At 33.5% G+C, this 16,956-nt stretch overlaps 1 protein-coding gene across 2 annotated transcripts; it reads left to right on the top strand.

The window, feature by feature from the left end:
- Positions 6,508 to 14,788, top strand: KLRC3 (killer cell lectin like receptor C3). Of its 2 annotated transcripts, NM_002261.3 has the most exons (7): positions 6,508 to 6,739; positions 7,139 to 7,237; positions 8,015 to 8,059; positions 8,605 to 8,759; positions 10,336 to 10,436; positions 11,309 to 11,399; positions 14,487 to 14,788. In NM_002261.3, the coding sequence occupies exons 1-7, from the start codon at positions 6,553 to 6,555 to the stop codon at positions 14,529 to 14,531; spliced, it is 723 nt and encodes a 240-aa protein (NP_002252.2). In that variant the 5' UTR covers positions 6,508 to 6,552; the 3' UTR covers positions 14,532 to 14,788. The 2 variants fall into 2 exon arrangements, with proteins under 2 accessions (NP_002252.2, NP_031359.2); NM_007333.2 differs by lacking the exon at positions 14,487 to 14,788 and having other exon boundaries at positions 11,309 to 11,519.

The following is a 16,956-nucleotide window of genomic DNA, read 5'->3' as shown; positions in this document are numbered from 1 at the left end:
ATATACATTCTTTGCTTTTAAATTCAAATTACTCTATACTTAATATAATTATCAATATCTAAAATATAATTCTTATGTATTTTATTTATATGGAAATATGTAAGCACAGGTATTAATTATAACTTCATTTTTATTACATTCTGATTGAACATTACCAAGTGTTTAAACTCTGTTGTTCCCTTATGTTTTCATAATAAATATTTTCATTGTTTACTTTCCACATAGAAACTTGTTAATTTAATACAATTTACAACACACCTGCTGGCACTTTGATCTTGGACCTCCCTGCTGTCTGAACTGTGAGTAATATATCTGTATGGTTAATAGATTGCTTAGTTTGTGATATTTTATTATAGCAGTACAAACAAAGTAAGATTACTCTCTATTTTATTTACCAGTTAGCCTGTATCTGCTCCCCAAATTCTAATACAAATATTTATTTCAATGTTGGAAACTTTGTCATTAATACACTATCTATTCAATATCCAATTAGGTATATCCACATAATTCCTTTACGTCTTCTTTTTGAATATCCAAGTTTTCATTGGGAAGGTGTGCTTAATCTATTGAAGAAATTTAAATTTTATTTTCTTTAGAGTTTGTAATAACTAATTCACTCCAATTTTTTAAATTCCTTGAAAATTATTTTGTTTCATGTTACATTAAAAGTATATTTTCACTTCTTATTGACTTCCAACTTAGCCATAACCCATAGGAAACCAGATATTGCCATTATTTGCAATAGTCACAGTAATTCATATGTAGGTTCGGTGTTAGGGTTCTCTAGAGGGACAGAACTAATAGGATGCATGTATATATGAAAGAGAGTTTATTAGGGAGAATTGGCTCACACAATCACAAGGCAAAGTCCCACAATAGGCCATCTGCAAGCTGGGGGAAGAAAGAAGCCGGTAGTGGCTCAGTCCGAGTCAAAAGCCTCAGAAGCAGAGAAGCCAAAAGTGCAGCCTTCAGTCTGTGGCCGAAGGCCCAGGAGCCCCTGTAAAACCACTGGTGTAAGTACAAGAGTCCAAAGGCTGAAGAACCTGGAGTCTGATGTCCAAGGGCAGGAGGAACGAAGGAAGCATCCAGCACGGGAGAAAAATGAAAGCCGAACACAGCAAGCCAGCTTACCCCACCTTCTTCTAGCTGCTTTGTTCTACTCGCTCTGGCAGCCATTGGATGGTGCCCACCCACACAGAGGATGGGTGTTCTTCGCCCAGTCCACTGAGTCAAATGTCAATCTCCTCTGGCAACACCGTCACAGACACAGCCAGAAACAACACTTTACCAGCTATCTAGGCATCCTTCAATCCAATCCGGCTGACACCTAATATTAATCATCGTAAGTTCTGTGTGTGTGTGTGTGTGTATTTACGTCACATAAACATATATACACACACACACACATCATATAAATTCTAAGTACTCCAGTTATCTTGTGTAATTTTTGTTTTGTTTTTATATATTTATTGTGCCTTTGTATAAGCATAAACTTCATTCACAGTAAATGCCCAAACAGTAGAAATCTGTATTGTTTCGATTAACAAAGGACATGATATACAGTCACGTGCCACAAAATGATGTTTTGGTCAATGACTGACTGCACATAGATAGTGGTCCCACTAGATTATAACGGAGCTGGAAATTTCCTATGACTTAGTGACGTCATAGCAATAGTTTCAGTACAGTGTATTATTCACATGTCTGTGGTGATGCTGGTGTAAATTACCTTGCTGCCAGTGGAATAAAAGTATAGCACAAACAATTACATACACTACATAATATTTGATAATGATAATAAATGACAATGTTATTGGTTTATGTATTTACTGTAGTATACTTTTAATTATTATTTTAGAGTGTACTCCTTCTACTTCTATAAAAACAGTTACCTGAAAAACAACCTTGGGCAGGTCCCTCAGGAGGAATTCCAGAAGAAGGCACTGTTACCATAGGAGAGGACAGCTGCACGTGTGTTATTGCCTGAACCTTCCAGTGGGACAAGATGTGGAGGGGATGACAGTGAGATTGATCTTGCTGACACTGCGTAGGCTTAGGCTAATGTATGTTTTCGTGTCTTCGTTTTTAAAAAAAGTTTAAAAAGAAAAAAATTAAAATGAAATATAGAAAAAAGCTCATAAAAAGAATATAGTTGTTAAGACTGTGCAATTTGTGTTTTTAAATAAAGTGTATTTAAAAAGAGGCAGAAGATTTTTAAAATATGAAAAATTTAGAAACCAACAAAGGTGCAGTAAAGTTAATTTATTATTAGCTCAAGAAAAAAAGTGCTGCATAAATATAGTGTACCCTAGTGTACAGTGTATAAATCCTACAGTAGTGTGCTGTAATATCCTAGGCCTTGACTTTCACTTGCTACTTACTCACTGACTCACCCAGGGAAAATTCCATTTCTGCAGTCTTCATTCGTAGTAAGTGCCCTATAAAAGGATGCCATTTTAACCTTTTTTTAAACCATATTTTACTGTTTTTTTGGTTTATATATAATTAGATAAACAAAAATTACCATTCTGGTCACTGCTTGCATTATTCACAACAGTAACATATTGTACAGGTTTGTATCCTTGGAGCAATAGCCTATCCCATATAACACAGGAGTGTAGTAGCTGTACCATCTAGGTTTGTGTAAATAAACTCTTTGATGTTGACACAGGGATGAAATTGCCTAAAGACATATTCCTCAGAGGTATCCCTGTCATTATGCAAACAATAATGGTATAACACTAATGGAAAACACCAAGTGGATGTTTGTAGCAATAGTAGACATCAGCACTTCAGACTTAAATAGAAAACATCAGTGAATGATACATTATGTGGCATCTTTAGTGAATGATTTTATTGTTTTAGTTCCATAACGTGACTAATAGAAAAAGTAACCTAGTTTATGAAAATGTAATAAAATGTAAATATAAATATACTTGTAATAGAAAAAGATACAATATGAACACAAGCATATATGCATATGACATTATTAATTAATTTTGTGAAAATATATTACAATATATTTTACAGAAAAACATATATACCTAGCCACCATTAGCCATTCTGATGGAAGGGCAAATAATAATTCTCATTGCAAAGAAATAAATATGGGTTTAAATTCCAACTTTTTAGATTTTAGAGAATAGCCGGGCACAGTGGCTCACGCCTGTAATCCCAGCACATTGGAAGGCCGAGGCAGACGGATAACGAGGTCAGGAGATCAAGACCATCCTGGCTAACACGGTGAAACCTCGTCTCTACTAAAAATACAAAAAAAATTAGCTGGGCCTGGTGGCACACGCCTGTAATCCCAGCTACTCAGGAGGCTGAGGCAGGAGAATCGCTTGAGCCCAGGAGGCAGAGGTTGCAGTGAGCCGAGATGGCACCACTGCACTCCAGCCTGGGCAATAGAATTATGCATAAACATTCCCCCTTTTCTTGATAGAAAATAAATGATGAAAAGATTTTTATTTAATACAACTAGATAATTTATAGTTTTTTCCCTGATGTTCGTATACCATTTATTTTTTAAAAGTTTTTGTTTATTTGTTTTTGAGACAAGGTCTGGCTCTGTTGCCCAGGCTACAGTGCAGTGACACTAACAGTTCACTGCAGCCTTGACCCCCAGGGCTCAAGCGATCCTCTCACCTCAGCCTCCAGAGCAGATGGGACTACAAGCAAACACCAGCATCCTCGGCTAATTCATATATATATATATATATATATATATTTTTTTTTTTTTTTTTTTTTTTTTTAAGAGATGGGGTTTCATCCTGTGTATCATGCTAACCTCAAACTCCTGAGCTCAAGTGATCCTGGAGTGCTGGGATTACTGACATGAGCTACCATGCCCGGACATTCATGTATCATTTTACTTGTGTTTTAAAAAATCTCCATTTTCTGGCCTCCCCATTTTTAAGTAGGTGATGTTTTAAAAATTGCTTTAACCTCCCTTCATAGTTTAACTTAGGCTTTAGTCATTTACAACAAATATTTCTATTAAAATGCAGACAGTAAGTCATGATTAGAGAAGGAACCGGTGAACAATATAGTAGGTAGTTTTTTTATTATTTCAGTCTCTGGCATAGAGATATAGCTCAGTATTGTTTAATATTTTATTCTTTCAAGAGACATTTATTTTAATCAGGAATCTGGTTAACTTATATAAAGAAGAAAAATTGAATGAGGGAATTTTAAGAACTAAGGCAAAGAAAGCAAGAAGATAAGTTTGAGAATGCATGTCAGTTACAATTAAGTTGAAAATGCAGCATTTTCTCAAAATAGTGACAAGTACATTAAATTCCTATTGATAAAATCATTATTTAAATTTTGTTATTATGATAGCAGTGATATTATAGGGGTATATGATAAAAAAGTATATAATGTCAAGTTTCAGCCACCTTGTCTAAATGTAGAAAGCAACCACCTAAGATCCTTTTGAAAAGTTACAAAACTTTGGTGTTTGTGACTGAGATGGAAACAATCACCAGCATGGATCAAATCTCTGCTCTCCCCTCATCTTGTTGACCATAAAAATAATTTCTAAGAGGCACTTTAAAATGGACAAACTAAATGACACACTAGCCACCCAAAGTCTCCTATATTCTAAAGTGTGTGATGAGACAAACTGATTCAAAATAGCCCTAGGGTGAGAATTTCCTGTTCAAATCTGCAGTGACACATTGGTGAGGAATCTACTTTTTCCACTCTTGCCTCACTCTGACCCTTCAAAGGGCAGTCTGTGAAGATCACAGATAACGTTTGTGTCTTTCAGAGGTAACCTGACCTCTCCACTGAAGGGCGTGTGGCTTTCTGATGACAGTAGGTAAGTGTTGCTCCTCTCCCTGTTTCTCTACTAGCTCATCTCATTTAGTAGAAGATTGTAAGTACTGGCTGTGATGCACCTGAGGTAAAGTTGATATAGACGAAAATCAAGGTAGAACTTTATTCACGTGAATAATTCAAGGTGAAAAACGAGCCAAAATATAAACTATGTTTAAGGATTTCTTAGAGTATTCACATCATTGCCGCTGGAGAATCACTCAAGTAGATGCATACATAATAATAGGTTTGCCAATCCATGTAATTTAGAGTGAAACCCATAACCATCATGACAATGAACAATTAATTTTGGATTTTGTAATCATTACTGGTTTAATTGTATATTATATTTAGACCAAACTTTAAAAATAAATTTTTAATATGGATACATCAAATTGTGAATGTCAAACATTAATTCTCAATCACACACCTAGATTTCATGAAAGCAGTTTTAATTTTTAATAAAAGTAAGGATGAAATCATTTCCATAAAATGCAAATCTGACCTTAATTATAAACAATTGGAAGACTTAAAACAATTGAACCAAACATTGCAAAAAAGATGTACCACACTGACATGAGACGCCTAATTAATGAGTTATTTTAACACACTCTAATGCAAATCAGAAATAATAAAATGGCAATTGTGTTAAAAATAGTTGAAATATCTATTATGTATTCAGTGCTAATATGTGCCAGGTTGTGTGTTTAGTTTTCTACATACATTATACTTTATAAATTATTTTTCCCAATGTAGATTAGTAAACTAGGTTAGTAGACACTAAGTAATTTAGTACAGGTCACATATTACAACTTGCAAAGCTAGAATTAATTGTAGTCTCACTGACTACAGAGCTCATTGACTAGATTATTAAATTACATTATCTGAACTATTACAATTACTTATACAACCAAAGCGACCCTCACTGACTTATACAATCATAGGAGCTTTCTGAAAGTTTGATTGGACACTATTCTTCCATAGACGGCCCACACGTTTATTTATCATTTTAAGTTTTCCTATTTTAGTCATTAAATCAATTACCAATTTCTTGTGTAAAAGCAGCAATTTAAAAATATATTATGTTTTCAATAGTATTTATGCATACAGTAATGTAATGTTTTACAAGATATATTTTTAAAATTTTAATGATTTTTCTGATTTCCTAATTTAGAAAAATAATCAGTTGACAATACCTCAGGTCCTTTTAATAAATGAATGTAACTCACTAACAATGTATGTTAGTATAAGAAGTTACTCTGTATGCTGACAGAACTATTTTATCTTATGGCACACAATCATTAACCATCAATGACTCTTAAAACTATGGTAAAATTAGTGTATTTCTAAATACAGTATTTTAATTGTTAAAGTATGCAGTCTATTGGTGTTAAACATTTTTGAAGAATCTAACCTTAATTTAATACCAATTTTTTTCATGAACTTCCTAGTTCTCACAAGTTTAATGTTTTTATTGTTCCCACTAGTAATATTATGTCAAATACAGAATACATCTAAAAAATGGCCAATTATATCGTGTGATTTTTGTTTAAAGCTTTAGGAAATTAGTAGCAGAATTTTACCTAGGTTAACAGCAAAGTAAACATTATTACTCAGCCCCAACACATGCACATTGCCTATACCAGGGATCCTGTCAAAATATACACCATTTATAGCTTCTTAAGTGCAGTTATCATAGAGCACAGTCCCTCACATCACACAGCTGCAGAGATGAGTAAACAAAGAGGAACCTTCTCAGAAGTGAGTCTGGCCCAGGACCCAAAGTGGCAGCAAAGGAAACCTAAAGGCAATAAAAGCTCCATTTCAGGAACCGAACAGGAAATATTCCAAGTAGAATTAAACCTTCAAAATGCTTCTCTGAATCATCAAGGGATTGATAAAATATATGACTGCCAAGGTAAAACATTAAATATATCTTCAATGTTATTGTTCTGGGATGTGCAGTTGAATGCAGAAGGGTGAGGAAAGATTAGGGAATATTTTACACTTGTGAGAATCAGAGTTCATAAATGGGATCTAATATTCTAATATGAAATCAGAAGACTAATTTTATTCAGGCATTGTTCAACTGTAATCAACTGTAATCTGCAATCCACTCATGGAACATTACATTTACTGAAAATGAAATGGTATATTCTGAGAGAAAGATTACTAGAGTAGATGTAGATTTAGCGGCCAGAGTTTATCATTATGTTTCCCTGTGCATGTGGGTTCTCTAGTATGTAATTCTCTAGTATGTAATCCTAATCAACTCTCTATCTCCCCTCTCTCAGTGCCTCTATTTCTCTCCCTGCAGGTTTACTGCCACCTCCAGAAAAGCTCACTGCCGAGGTCCTAGGAATCATTTGCATTGTCCTGATGGCCACTGTGTTAAAAACAATAGTTCTTATTCCTTGTAAGCATATTCTTGAAAGATTAGAAGGGAACGTTTTACTTTAATGCTTGGAAGTGCCTCAAAATATTTCATACTGTTGAAGAATAGAACTCTTATTTTACTGTTTCTTTCAAAGATCTATTACTTCATTTATTTTTATAGAAAAAGTTAATTTTATTAAAGATTGTCCCCATTTTAAATAACACACAAAGTTTCAAAGTAAGAAACTAAACTCATTATGGTTTATCTAAATATTACTTTTTATAAAAATCATTTTAATTTTTCTATTACAGTCCTGGAGCAGAACAATTCTTCCCCAAATACAAGAACCCAGAAAAGTACATTTTTATTTTCAAAGTTCTGATATTAGTACAATTTGGAACCAAAATAATATGGTTATTCTGAATTTTTCACAACATAAATAACAAAATCATTGTAGAGAACATGTGTTTATTTTTTGTGTGTAATCTATATATATGTATATACATACACACACAAAGATATTTTCTGATTTCATAATTCAAAGGCATGCTATAGAAGAAAAGTATTTAGAAAAACTAATTTTTGAAAGTGGTTACATCAAATACTACAAGAGATGGTGAAGTTTTGTGCTAAAGTCTTTAAAAATGTTTATTTCAAAGGTCTATTACTTTATATATTTTTATAGAAAAAGTTAATTTTATTAAAGATTCTCCCCATTTTAAATAACACACAAAGTTTCAAAGTAAGAAACTAAACTCATTATGGTTTATCTAGATATCAGTTTTTATAAAAATCATTTTAATTTTTCTATTACAGTCCTGGAGCAGAACAATTCTTCCCCGAATGCAAGAACCCAGAAAGGTACATTTTTATTTTCAATGCTCTGATATTAGTACAATTTATATTTTGTGTCTGTTTTAAGGCATGTAAAAGAATAGTGGCATTTTTGCAGAAAATAAGCCATAAATTCAGCCATAAATATTTATAAAGAAAGATTATGAGGCAGCATTTCCTTTTCTCCAGTAAGTAGAAATACTCACTTAAAATCATTCTACCCTCTTTCTCCCAATTAACAGAAGTCTCCTACTGCTGTGAGATGATACCAAATAAATAATTTTACTATTCTAAAAAAGCAGTTGTGTATCAGTGAGGTTCAAGACATGTGTGGAGTGTATTTTTGTTTGTTGGTTTGCTTTATATGGGAACACAATTAGGGGAGAGAGGCTAACCCTTTTCTGTGTATGTGTGTATGACTGACTCAGTTATTAAAAAATATATACTTATAAGCCTGTAAGGATGCATAAATATGTTAAGCACATATATGTTTATACTGTTGCAAATATGTGAACTAATTTTCATTTTTAAAAATTCATATTGGTCTAGATAGTAATTCATATCTTTATTAGCACGTCATTGTGGCCATTGTCCTGAGGAGTGGATTACATATTCCAACAGTTGTTATTACATTGGTAAGGAAAGAAGAACTTGGGAAGAGAGTTTGCAGGCCTGTGCTTCAAAGAACTCTTCTAGTCTGCTTTGTATAGATAATGAAGAAGAAATGGTAAGATGTAAATGTTTCAAACATTTTATGAAAAGCTTCTTTCAGTGAATAATACATTTGTAGAAAACATCCATATGTGTGTACATATATTTAGCTTATATATTTTCAAGTGTATGCATTATTCAGTTGATTGACTTAATAATGTTTTTAAAGTTATATACCGCTAATGTACTTTTATTTTCAGTTTTTGCTTTTTATGGAAAACCATGCTTCTATTAATGCTTTGAATCCACAATAAATTTTACTATTTAATTTTATTGAGCATGATATGATCTAGTCATGCAGATTGATCACAAAGTGAATGATCTCATGTGATACAAGTGAGATCATGAAATAAGTTTCCAGCTCTAGCAGTTCCACCCCTGTGTATGCCCTCATCACTTATCCTGACTCCTCTCCAAAACACTGTCTTGACTTTTGAAGTTATAAATAAGGTTTGCCTGTTCTTGAATTTATAAAAAACGGAATTATACAGTGTGAATTTCATGTCTGTCTTTTTCACTCCTATCTGATATTTGTGGAATTCCTCCATATTATTGCGGTTATCTGTAGTTTGTTACTGTTCACTGCTGTACTATGTACAAAGAACACTAAGAATTCATTCTGTCTTATGTCTCTAGATGGGGAAGTGAGTCTCATGCCCTCAGGGGCAAAGAGGACCCTGGATGGTGCATTGGTAGTCGTGGGTCCCTTTCCTGATCCTCCTCACCCACAACCACCCTGGTGTCTCCTGGTATGAGAAGGAAGCACTTTCTCTAGCTCCGTATTGGTGGCAGGTCTCCTGGTAGATCATCCTTGCCAGTGGCACCAGCCTTGCCTGGTATTGTGGAGGGGACTCTCCTTCGATACCCTCCTCCTATTGCCAGGTTGGGTGTAGGGAAACAGCAGGCCTAGGTCACCTTCTTCTGTCGTGTGGAGGACTTAACATGCTCACTCGGACACTTGGTTGATCCCTGATGCTAGGGTCCCAGACAATTTCATCTTTCTCTTTCCACCTTTCAGAGTTCTCCATTACTTTTGTCTTTCATTAATCCCAGAGTTTATAGTTGTTTTTAGTAGGGAGTAGCAGAGAGAGACGAGTCTACACCACCTGGCCAGGACCCCTGTTATTCCACAAAAACCGAATCGGATAAAAATTGAGGGCTTATCTAGTTAAAGAATGGTGTGGTACCAAGGAAACCCAATCTGTAGCTTCCATGTCATTTATTTCTGAATGACAACCCCTCAATTCCCTTCTAAATCTCCAACTCTGAGAAATATAGCACAAAAATAGATTGATTTAGTCACAGTATCTGGAGAAATGAATGCACAGTATCAGGAAACTTATTAAAACCCTTCCTGTGTTTATTCTGTTAATTGGAGTAACTATTACATTGCAAGAATTAAAATGTCTTTATTAACATGAGAATAAGAATGAAAGTACTAAGTATAAACGTTGAAGAGTTCATTTAAATAAAAAATTCAAACATTTATGAAAGTTTTTGGCACTGCAAATAGTGGTTTTCAACTTTAATATATTGTTTTTGTAATGTTTTCATAATTATTATTTAAGTGAAAATTATTTCTTTTCTTTTAGAAATTTCTGGCCAGCATTTTACCTTCCTCATGGATTGGTGTGTTTCGTAACAGCAGTCATCATCCATGGGTGACAATAAATGGTTTGGCTTTCAAACATGAGTAAGTTGTTTTATAGGGTGCTATATAAAAAAATATAAAGGATAAATTCAGAAGAATAATATGAATAAATCTATGTGGAATCATTGATATGAAGAAAGATGTGGAAAGTTAGTGAAATGTTGATACAAATATTTTACAATAGACCATAGTAGTCCATATATGTCCACCACTCATTGGTCAGCTAGTAACTTTCTTGGTTATGAGATGGACCAGGGGTGTCTAATCTTTGGCTTCTGTGGGCCACATTGGAAGAAGAAGAGTCTTGGGCCACACATAAAAGACACTAACACTAACGCTAGCTGATGAGCTAAACAAAAAAATTGCAAAAATATCTCAGAATGTTTTAAGAAAGCTTATGTATTTGTGTTGGGCCGCATTGAAAGCTTCCTGGGCCACATGCGGCCCATGGGCCGTAAGTTAGACAAGCTTGAGATGGACTATCAGGGAATTGCAGTGCTTGTTTTCATTAAAAAGTCACCCTTATTTTACTTAAGAATATCCTCAAAGCACAATAGTAGTGCTGTTGGTATATTGCTTACAATTTTTTATTAGTAGTTATTGTTGTCAATCTCTTATTGTGCCTAATTTTTAAATTAAACTTTATCACAGTTATGAATGTGTAGAGAAAACATAATCTCTCTATAGGTTCTGTACTATTTCAGACATTCAGTGGGGTCTTGAAACATATCCCCCGTGGATGAAGGGGGAGTACTGTATTGAGTGTTCAGAATAATGACTTTTAGTAATAGCATATGAAAAATTTAATTACCCTTTTTCATAAAATTATTTTCTTACAGTACATGGAAAATGCTTTTGTCTCATGGGTCATTTGCATAAAATGTAACAGAATTATGGATTTTTCTCCATTACAGGATAAAAGACTCAGATCATGCTGAACGTAACTGTGCAATGCTACATGTACGTGGACTTATATCAGACCAGTGTGGATCTTCAAGAATCATTGTGAGCATAAGCTTTAGAATTAAAGCGCTTGAGCTTGCAGTGCATCAGATAAAATTTTATATTTGTTCAAACAGAAATGATATTATGATTGCATAAGCCTTAAAATGAATTGTGTTATTTGCTCTAATAATAAGAAAATTCCAAATCAATTATTGAAATATAATACACACAATTACGGAAGTACAGATACCCTCGCATTTAAGTCAGGCTCATTTTGCTGAACGTGATGTTTGTGGCATTCAGGCTTCCTAAAAGTTGCATGTTATGTTGGTCAGTTTATATGAAGTATCAAGAACAAGCAAAACCATGGAGACAGAAAATAAAATAGCGTTGCTAATGCCTAAGGGAGGTTGAAATAGGAGGTGTCCACTAATTGCTAGAATGTTTCTTTGTGTCAGTGATGAAAACTTTCTAAATTTCAGTAGCAGTGATGGTTGTAACTCTGTGAATACACTAAACATCACTGATTTTTAATCATTTTAAGTGGATGAAATTTATGCTATGTGCACCGTACCTCAATGAAGCTGTCCAAAACAAAAATATATACTGTCCTGGGATTGCTTGAGTCTGCATTTAATCTCTAAAGTAATTTTTAAAGATTAGCTTCTTGACATTTCCATACAATATCATATTGTGTCCTTCAATGTACTGGGTTCAATGTATGGGGTTTTCTTTAATTTCTCTCTATCATATTATGTATTTTGGGGGTTTGAATCATACAGAAATGCAGATATTTTACATTCATGCTTTTGTAAATAGCATTCTGATTTTAATATTCCCTTTAATAACTTTTGTTACTGTAAATAGAAATACAACTGATGTCTGCATTTTCACTTATTTTACATATTTAAATCTATCATTTCAAACAGATTTTTCTGGATTTTCTATATAAACAGCAATTTTATTTTCTTTTCTTTTTCTTTTTTTTTCTTTTTTTATTATTATTATACTTTAAGTTTTAGGGTACATGTGCACAATGTGCAGGTTTGTTACATATGTATACATGTGCCATGTTGGTGTGCTGCACCCATTAACTCGTCATTTAGCATTAGGTATATCTCCTAATGCTATCCCTCCCCCCTCCCCCCACCCCACAACAGTCCCCTGTGTGTGATGTTCCCCTGCCTGTGTCCTGCAAATAATCACACTTTTATTTTTTCTATCCATGTGCCACAACTTATTTTTTCTTCATTTATTTTCTCTGGCTAGTACTTTATATCCAGAGTTGAATAGAAGGTACAATCAAATTTTACATGTATCATATGTATCATTTTCTGGTTTTGGCAAAAAATAATTCAACATATTATTCATATTTACAAAGTTTGGTGTTTTTTTCATCATATCTTTCTTATATTGAAGTGGTTTTATAATATTCCTTTTTTCAATAGATGTTATCAATTGTAACATTTTTATTTTTTATTACTTAGAATGATATATGTTTTCTTTATACAACATTTTATAAAATAATTTTATTTTTGTCAAATGTTAAACTAGGCTTTGTTTCCGAAACAAATCCATGCTGATCATTGTATATTGCCCCTTATAAAATATCAGTGCACATACTACTATATCTAGGGTAAGATATGTTTCTTCATCTATGTTCACAAGGATATTTGACCACGTTTTTATTTGTAGCTATGTACTTGAAAAAGTTTTGGTCTCAAGGCTATCTTGGGAAGATTTTCTGTTTCTCTATAACCTGGAAGCATTTGTTAAGAGTACTGCTTTAGCCATAAAAAAGGATGAGTTCATGTCCTCTGCAGGGACATGGATGAAGCTGGAAACCATCATTCTCAGCAAACTATCACAAGGACAGAAAACCAAACACCGCATGTTCTCACTCATAGGTGGGAATTGAACAATGAGAACACATGGACACAGGGAGGAGAACATCACACACCGGGGCCTGTCGGGGGGTGGGGGGTTGGGGGAGGGATAGCATTAGGAGAAATACCTAATGTAAATGATGAGTTGATGGGTGCAGCACACCAACATGGCACATCTATGCCTATGTAACAAACCTGCACGTTGTGCACATATACCCTAGAACTTAAAATATAATAATAATAATAAAGAGTACCGCTTTATTTTTAAATGTTATCATTCACTAGTTATGCCATCTGAGTTTGCAGGCTATTTTTGTAGAAAAGTTTATGGCTAAACTGAATTTCTTCAATACATGTAGGGTTTACTCAGATTTCTATTTGAGGTACTATATTTTGGTAATGAGCATTTCCCAGGAATTTTCTATTTCATATGGACATTAAAATGCATTGATAATATAGTTTTATTGCCTGTTTAATAACTGTAAAGACCATAATGGTATTGCCATGTTTAAACTGGGAATAAAATATCTGTGCCTTTTCAAAATCTTCCCTTAGTAGTCCTTTGTGACCATTCATCTTGATAATTTCTTTGGCCCATATGTTATTTTGACATATATTACTGAATTAAAAACCATATAAGGTTCTCAGATTTTTGTTTATTGACTTCTGTTGTAGGTAAAATATAGTTAGAACATTTTCTATTAAACTGGAAATGTTCTTCATCCCTTTATAAATGTGGCTCATGTGGTGAGGTACTGGTTTTAAATGTTATTTATTTTTATTAATTAATGTTAAATTTGAATAGCTACATTTCAACTGTCTCCTAGCCAAGCTTGGCTAGCGGTACTACATTGAAATTGAGTATCCGTGTGAGTATATGTGTGTGAATGCATTCATATGAGTGATGGTTACTTGTCTAGTTTAAATCTTTCTATAGGCTCACTGGCCTGTCTTGTATTAAGCATCAAGAGAAGAGTCTTTAAAAATCCCATTTATGATTGTTTACTTGTTCACTTTATTCAACTATATGTTGAACTTGTATCATTAGGTATATGCAATGATAAAAAATATATTACTAATGGTTTGGAAAATTAATTTATCATTATGAAGTATATTTCCCCAATTTCAGTAAATTTCATCTCGGCTCACTGCAGCCTCGACCTCACCTCCAAGGCTCAAGCGATCCTCCCACCTCAGCAACCAGAGTAGCTGGCTACAGGCCAATACCATCATGCTGGCTAATTTTCGTATTTTTTTGTAGAGACGGGGTTTCATCATGTTGACCAGGCTGGTCTTGAACTCCTGAGCTCAAGAAATCAACACATCTTGGCCTCCCAAGTTGCTGGGATTACTGACACAAGCCACCGCCCCTGAGTGCTCATGTACCATTTAGCTTGTGTTTTAAAAATCTACTTTTTCTGCCCTCCCTATTTTTAACTAGATGATGTTTTAAAAATTACTTTTCCCTCTCTATATAGTTTGATTTAAGCATTAGTCATTTACAACAAATATTAATATTAAAATGCAGACCGTTATGATTGGAAAATAAATCAATGAACAATATAATGAGTGGTTTTTATATATTTCAATCTCTGGCGTGGTGATATAGTACAATATTTTTTAATTATTTATTCTTCCCAGAGACATATATTTCAATGAGAGTTATCTGATTAATTTATTTTTAAAAAACTGAATGAGAGAATTTTAAGAACTATCAAGAAAGTAAGTTGGGAATTTAACTTTGAGAATTGATGTCAATTACAATGAAGTGGAAATGTATTTTCTCAGAATAATTAGTGACAAATACATTAAATTCCTATTGGTAAGATTATTATTTTAAAAATTTATCGTCATATTAGCAGTGATATTATAGGGGTATATGATAAAGAAGTACGTAATCCCAAGTTTTAGCCACCCTGTGTAAATGTAGAAGTTAAACATGTAAGAGACTCTGAAAAAGGTATAAGATTTTAGTGTTTGTGATTGAGATGGAAACAACTGCATGGGTAGTAGTCTTTGTTCTCCCCAAATCTTGTTTACTATAAAAATAATTTCTAAAAGTCACTTGAAAATGGACAAACTAAATGACACCCTAGCAGCTCAGTCTCTTATATTCTGAGGTGTATGATGAGATAAACTGATTCAAAATGGCCCTAGTGTGAAAACTTCCTGTTCAAATCCGAAGTGATACATTGATGAGGAATCTGCTTTTTGCACTCTTGCCTCACTCTGAGCTTTCACAGGGCAGTCTGTGAAGATCAGAGATATCTGTTTTTTGTTTTTTGTTTTTTTCTGAGACAGAGTCTCGCTCTGTCGCCCAGGCTGGAGTGCAGTGGCTCCCGATCTCAGCTCACTGCAAGCTACGCCTCCCGGGTTCAACCGTTCTCCTGCCTCAGCCTCCCAAGCAGCTACAGGCGCCCGCCACCACACCCGGCTAAGTTTTTGTATTTTTAGTAGAGACGGGGTTTCACCGGATCACAGATGTCTTTTGTGTCGTTAAGAGGTAACCTGACCTCTCCACTAAGGGGCGTGTGACTTTCTGATGACAGAAGGTATGTGTTGCTAGTCTCCTGTTTCTCTACTAGCTCATCTCCTTTAGTAGAAAATTGTAAATATTAAATGTGATGCAACAAGGTAAAGTTAATACAGAATAAAATCAAAGTAGAACTGTCTGTACATGAATAATTCAGGGTGAAAAGCAACCCAAAATATAATATATGTTTGAGGATTTCTTAAAGTATTTACATTATTGCCTGTGGAGAATTAGTCAAGCACATGCATACATCATAATAGGTTTGTTAATCAATATAATTTAGAGTGAAACCGATAAATATCACGACAATGAAGAATTAATTTGAAATTTTATAATCATTATAGATGTAATAATACTTTATATTTAGCCCAGACTTTAAAAATGCATTTTTAATGGATACATCAAATTGTGAATGTCAAACATAATTTCTCATACACATACTTATATTTAATTGAAGCAGATTTTATTTTTTTAAGAATGTAATAATGAAGTAGTTTCCATAAAATGCAAATCTAAACTTAATTATAAATAATAGGACGACCTAAAAAAAATTGAGCCAAACAAACATTGCAAAAAAGATGTACTACACTGACATGAGACTCCTACCTCATTAGTTATTTTACACACTCAGTATGAATTAGAAATAATAAAATGGCAATTGTGTTAAAAATAATTAAAATATCTAATATGTATTGAGGACTAATGTGTGCCAGGTTGTATGTTAAGGGTTTTATATACATTATACTTCATAAATTATTTTCCCCAATCTAGATTAGTAAACTGGTGTTGTAGACACCAAGTAACTTTGTAAAGGTCATGCATTATGAGTTTCAAAGCTGTAATTAATTTTAGGTCTCACTGGCTACAGAGCTCATTGACTAGATTATTAAATTATATTTTCTGATTTATTACAATTACTTACACAACCAAAGTGACCCTCGCTGCCTTTTAAAACAACCACAGGGTCTTTCTGAAAGTTTGAACTTAAAGTGTTCTTTCATAGATGGTCCAAACTTATATTTATCATTTTCAGTTTTCCTATTTTAGTCATTAAATCAATTACCAATCAATTCTGTAAAATAAAGAGTTAAATCTTTTTCAGTAGTATTTAGTTTATGCATAAGTTAATGTAATGTTTTACAAGGTATAAAATATTTCTTTAAAATTTTAACAATTTTTCTGTTTTCCTCAATCATTC

Source organism: Homo sapiens, chromosome 12 (assembly GCF_000001405.40).
Source record: "Homo sapiens chromosome 12, GRCh38.p14 Primary Assembly".
Taxonomy (NCBI): domain Eukaryota; kingdom Metazoa; phylum Chordata; class Mammalia; order Primates; family Hominidae; genus Homo; species Homo sapiens.
Note: the sequence above shows the minus strand (reverse complement) of the source record. Positions and strands in the feature narration are given on the sequence as shown.

Bases quoted from the DNA above. Each gene is read 5' to 3' on its own strand.
- KLRC3 (NM_007333.2), top strand. From the start codon at position 6,553: ATGAGTAAACAAAGAGGAACCTTCTCAGAAGTGAGTCTGGCCCAGGAC. The intron at 6,740-7,138 runs GTAAAACATTAA...CTCTCCCTGCAG, and splicing joins TAAAATATATGACTGCCAAG to GTTTACTGCCACCTCCAGAA. The intron at 7,238-8,014 runs GTAAGCATATTC...TTTCTATTACAG, and splicing joins AACAATAGTTCTTATTCCTT to TCCTGGAGCAGAACAATTCT.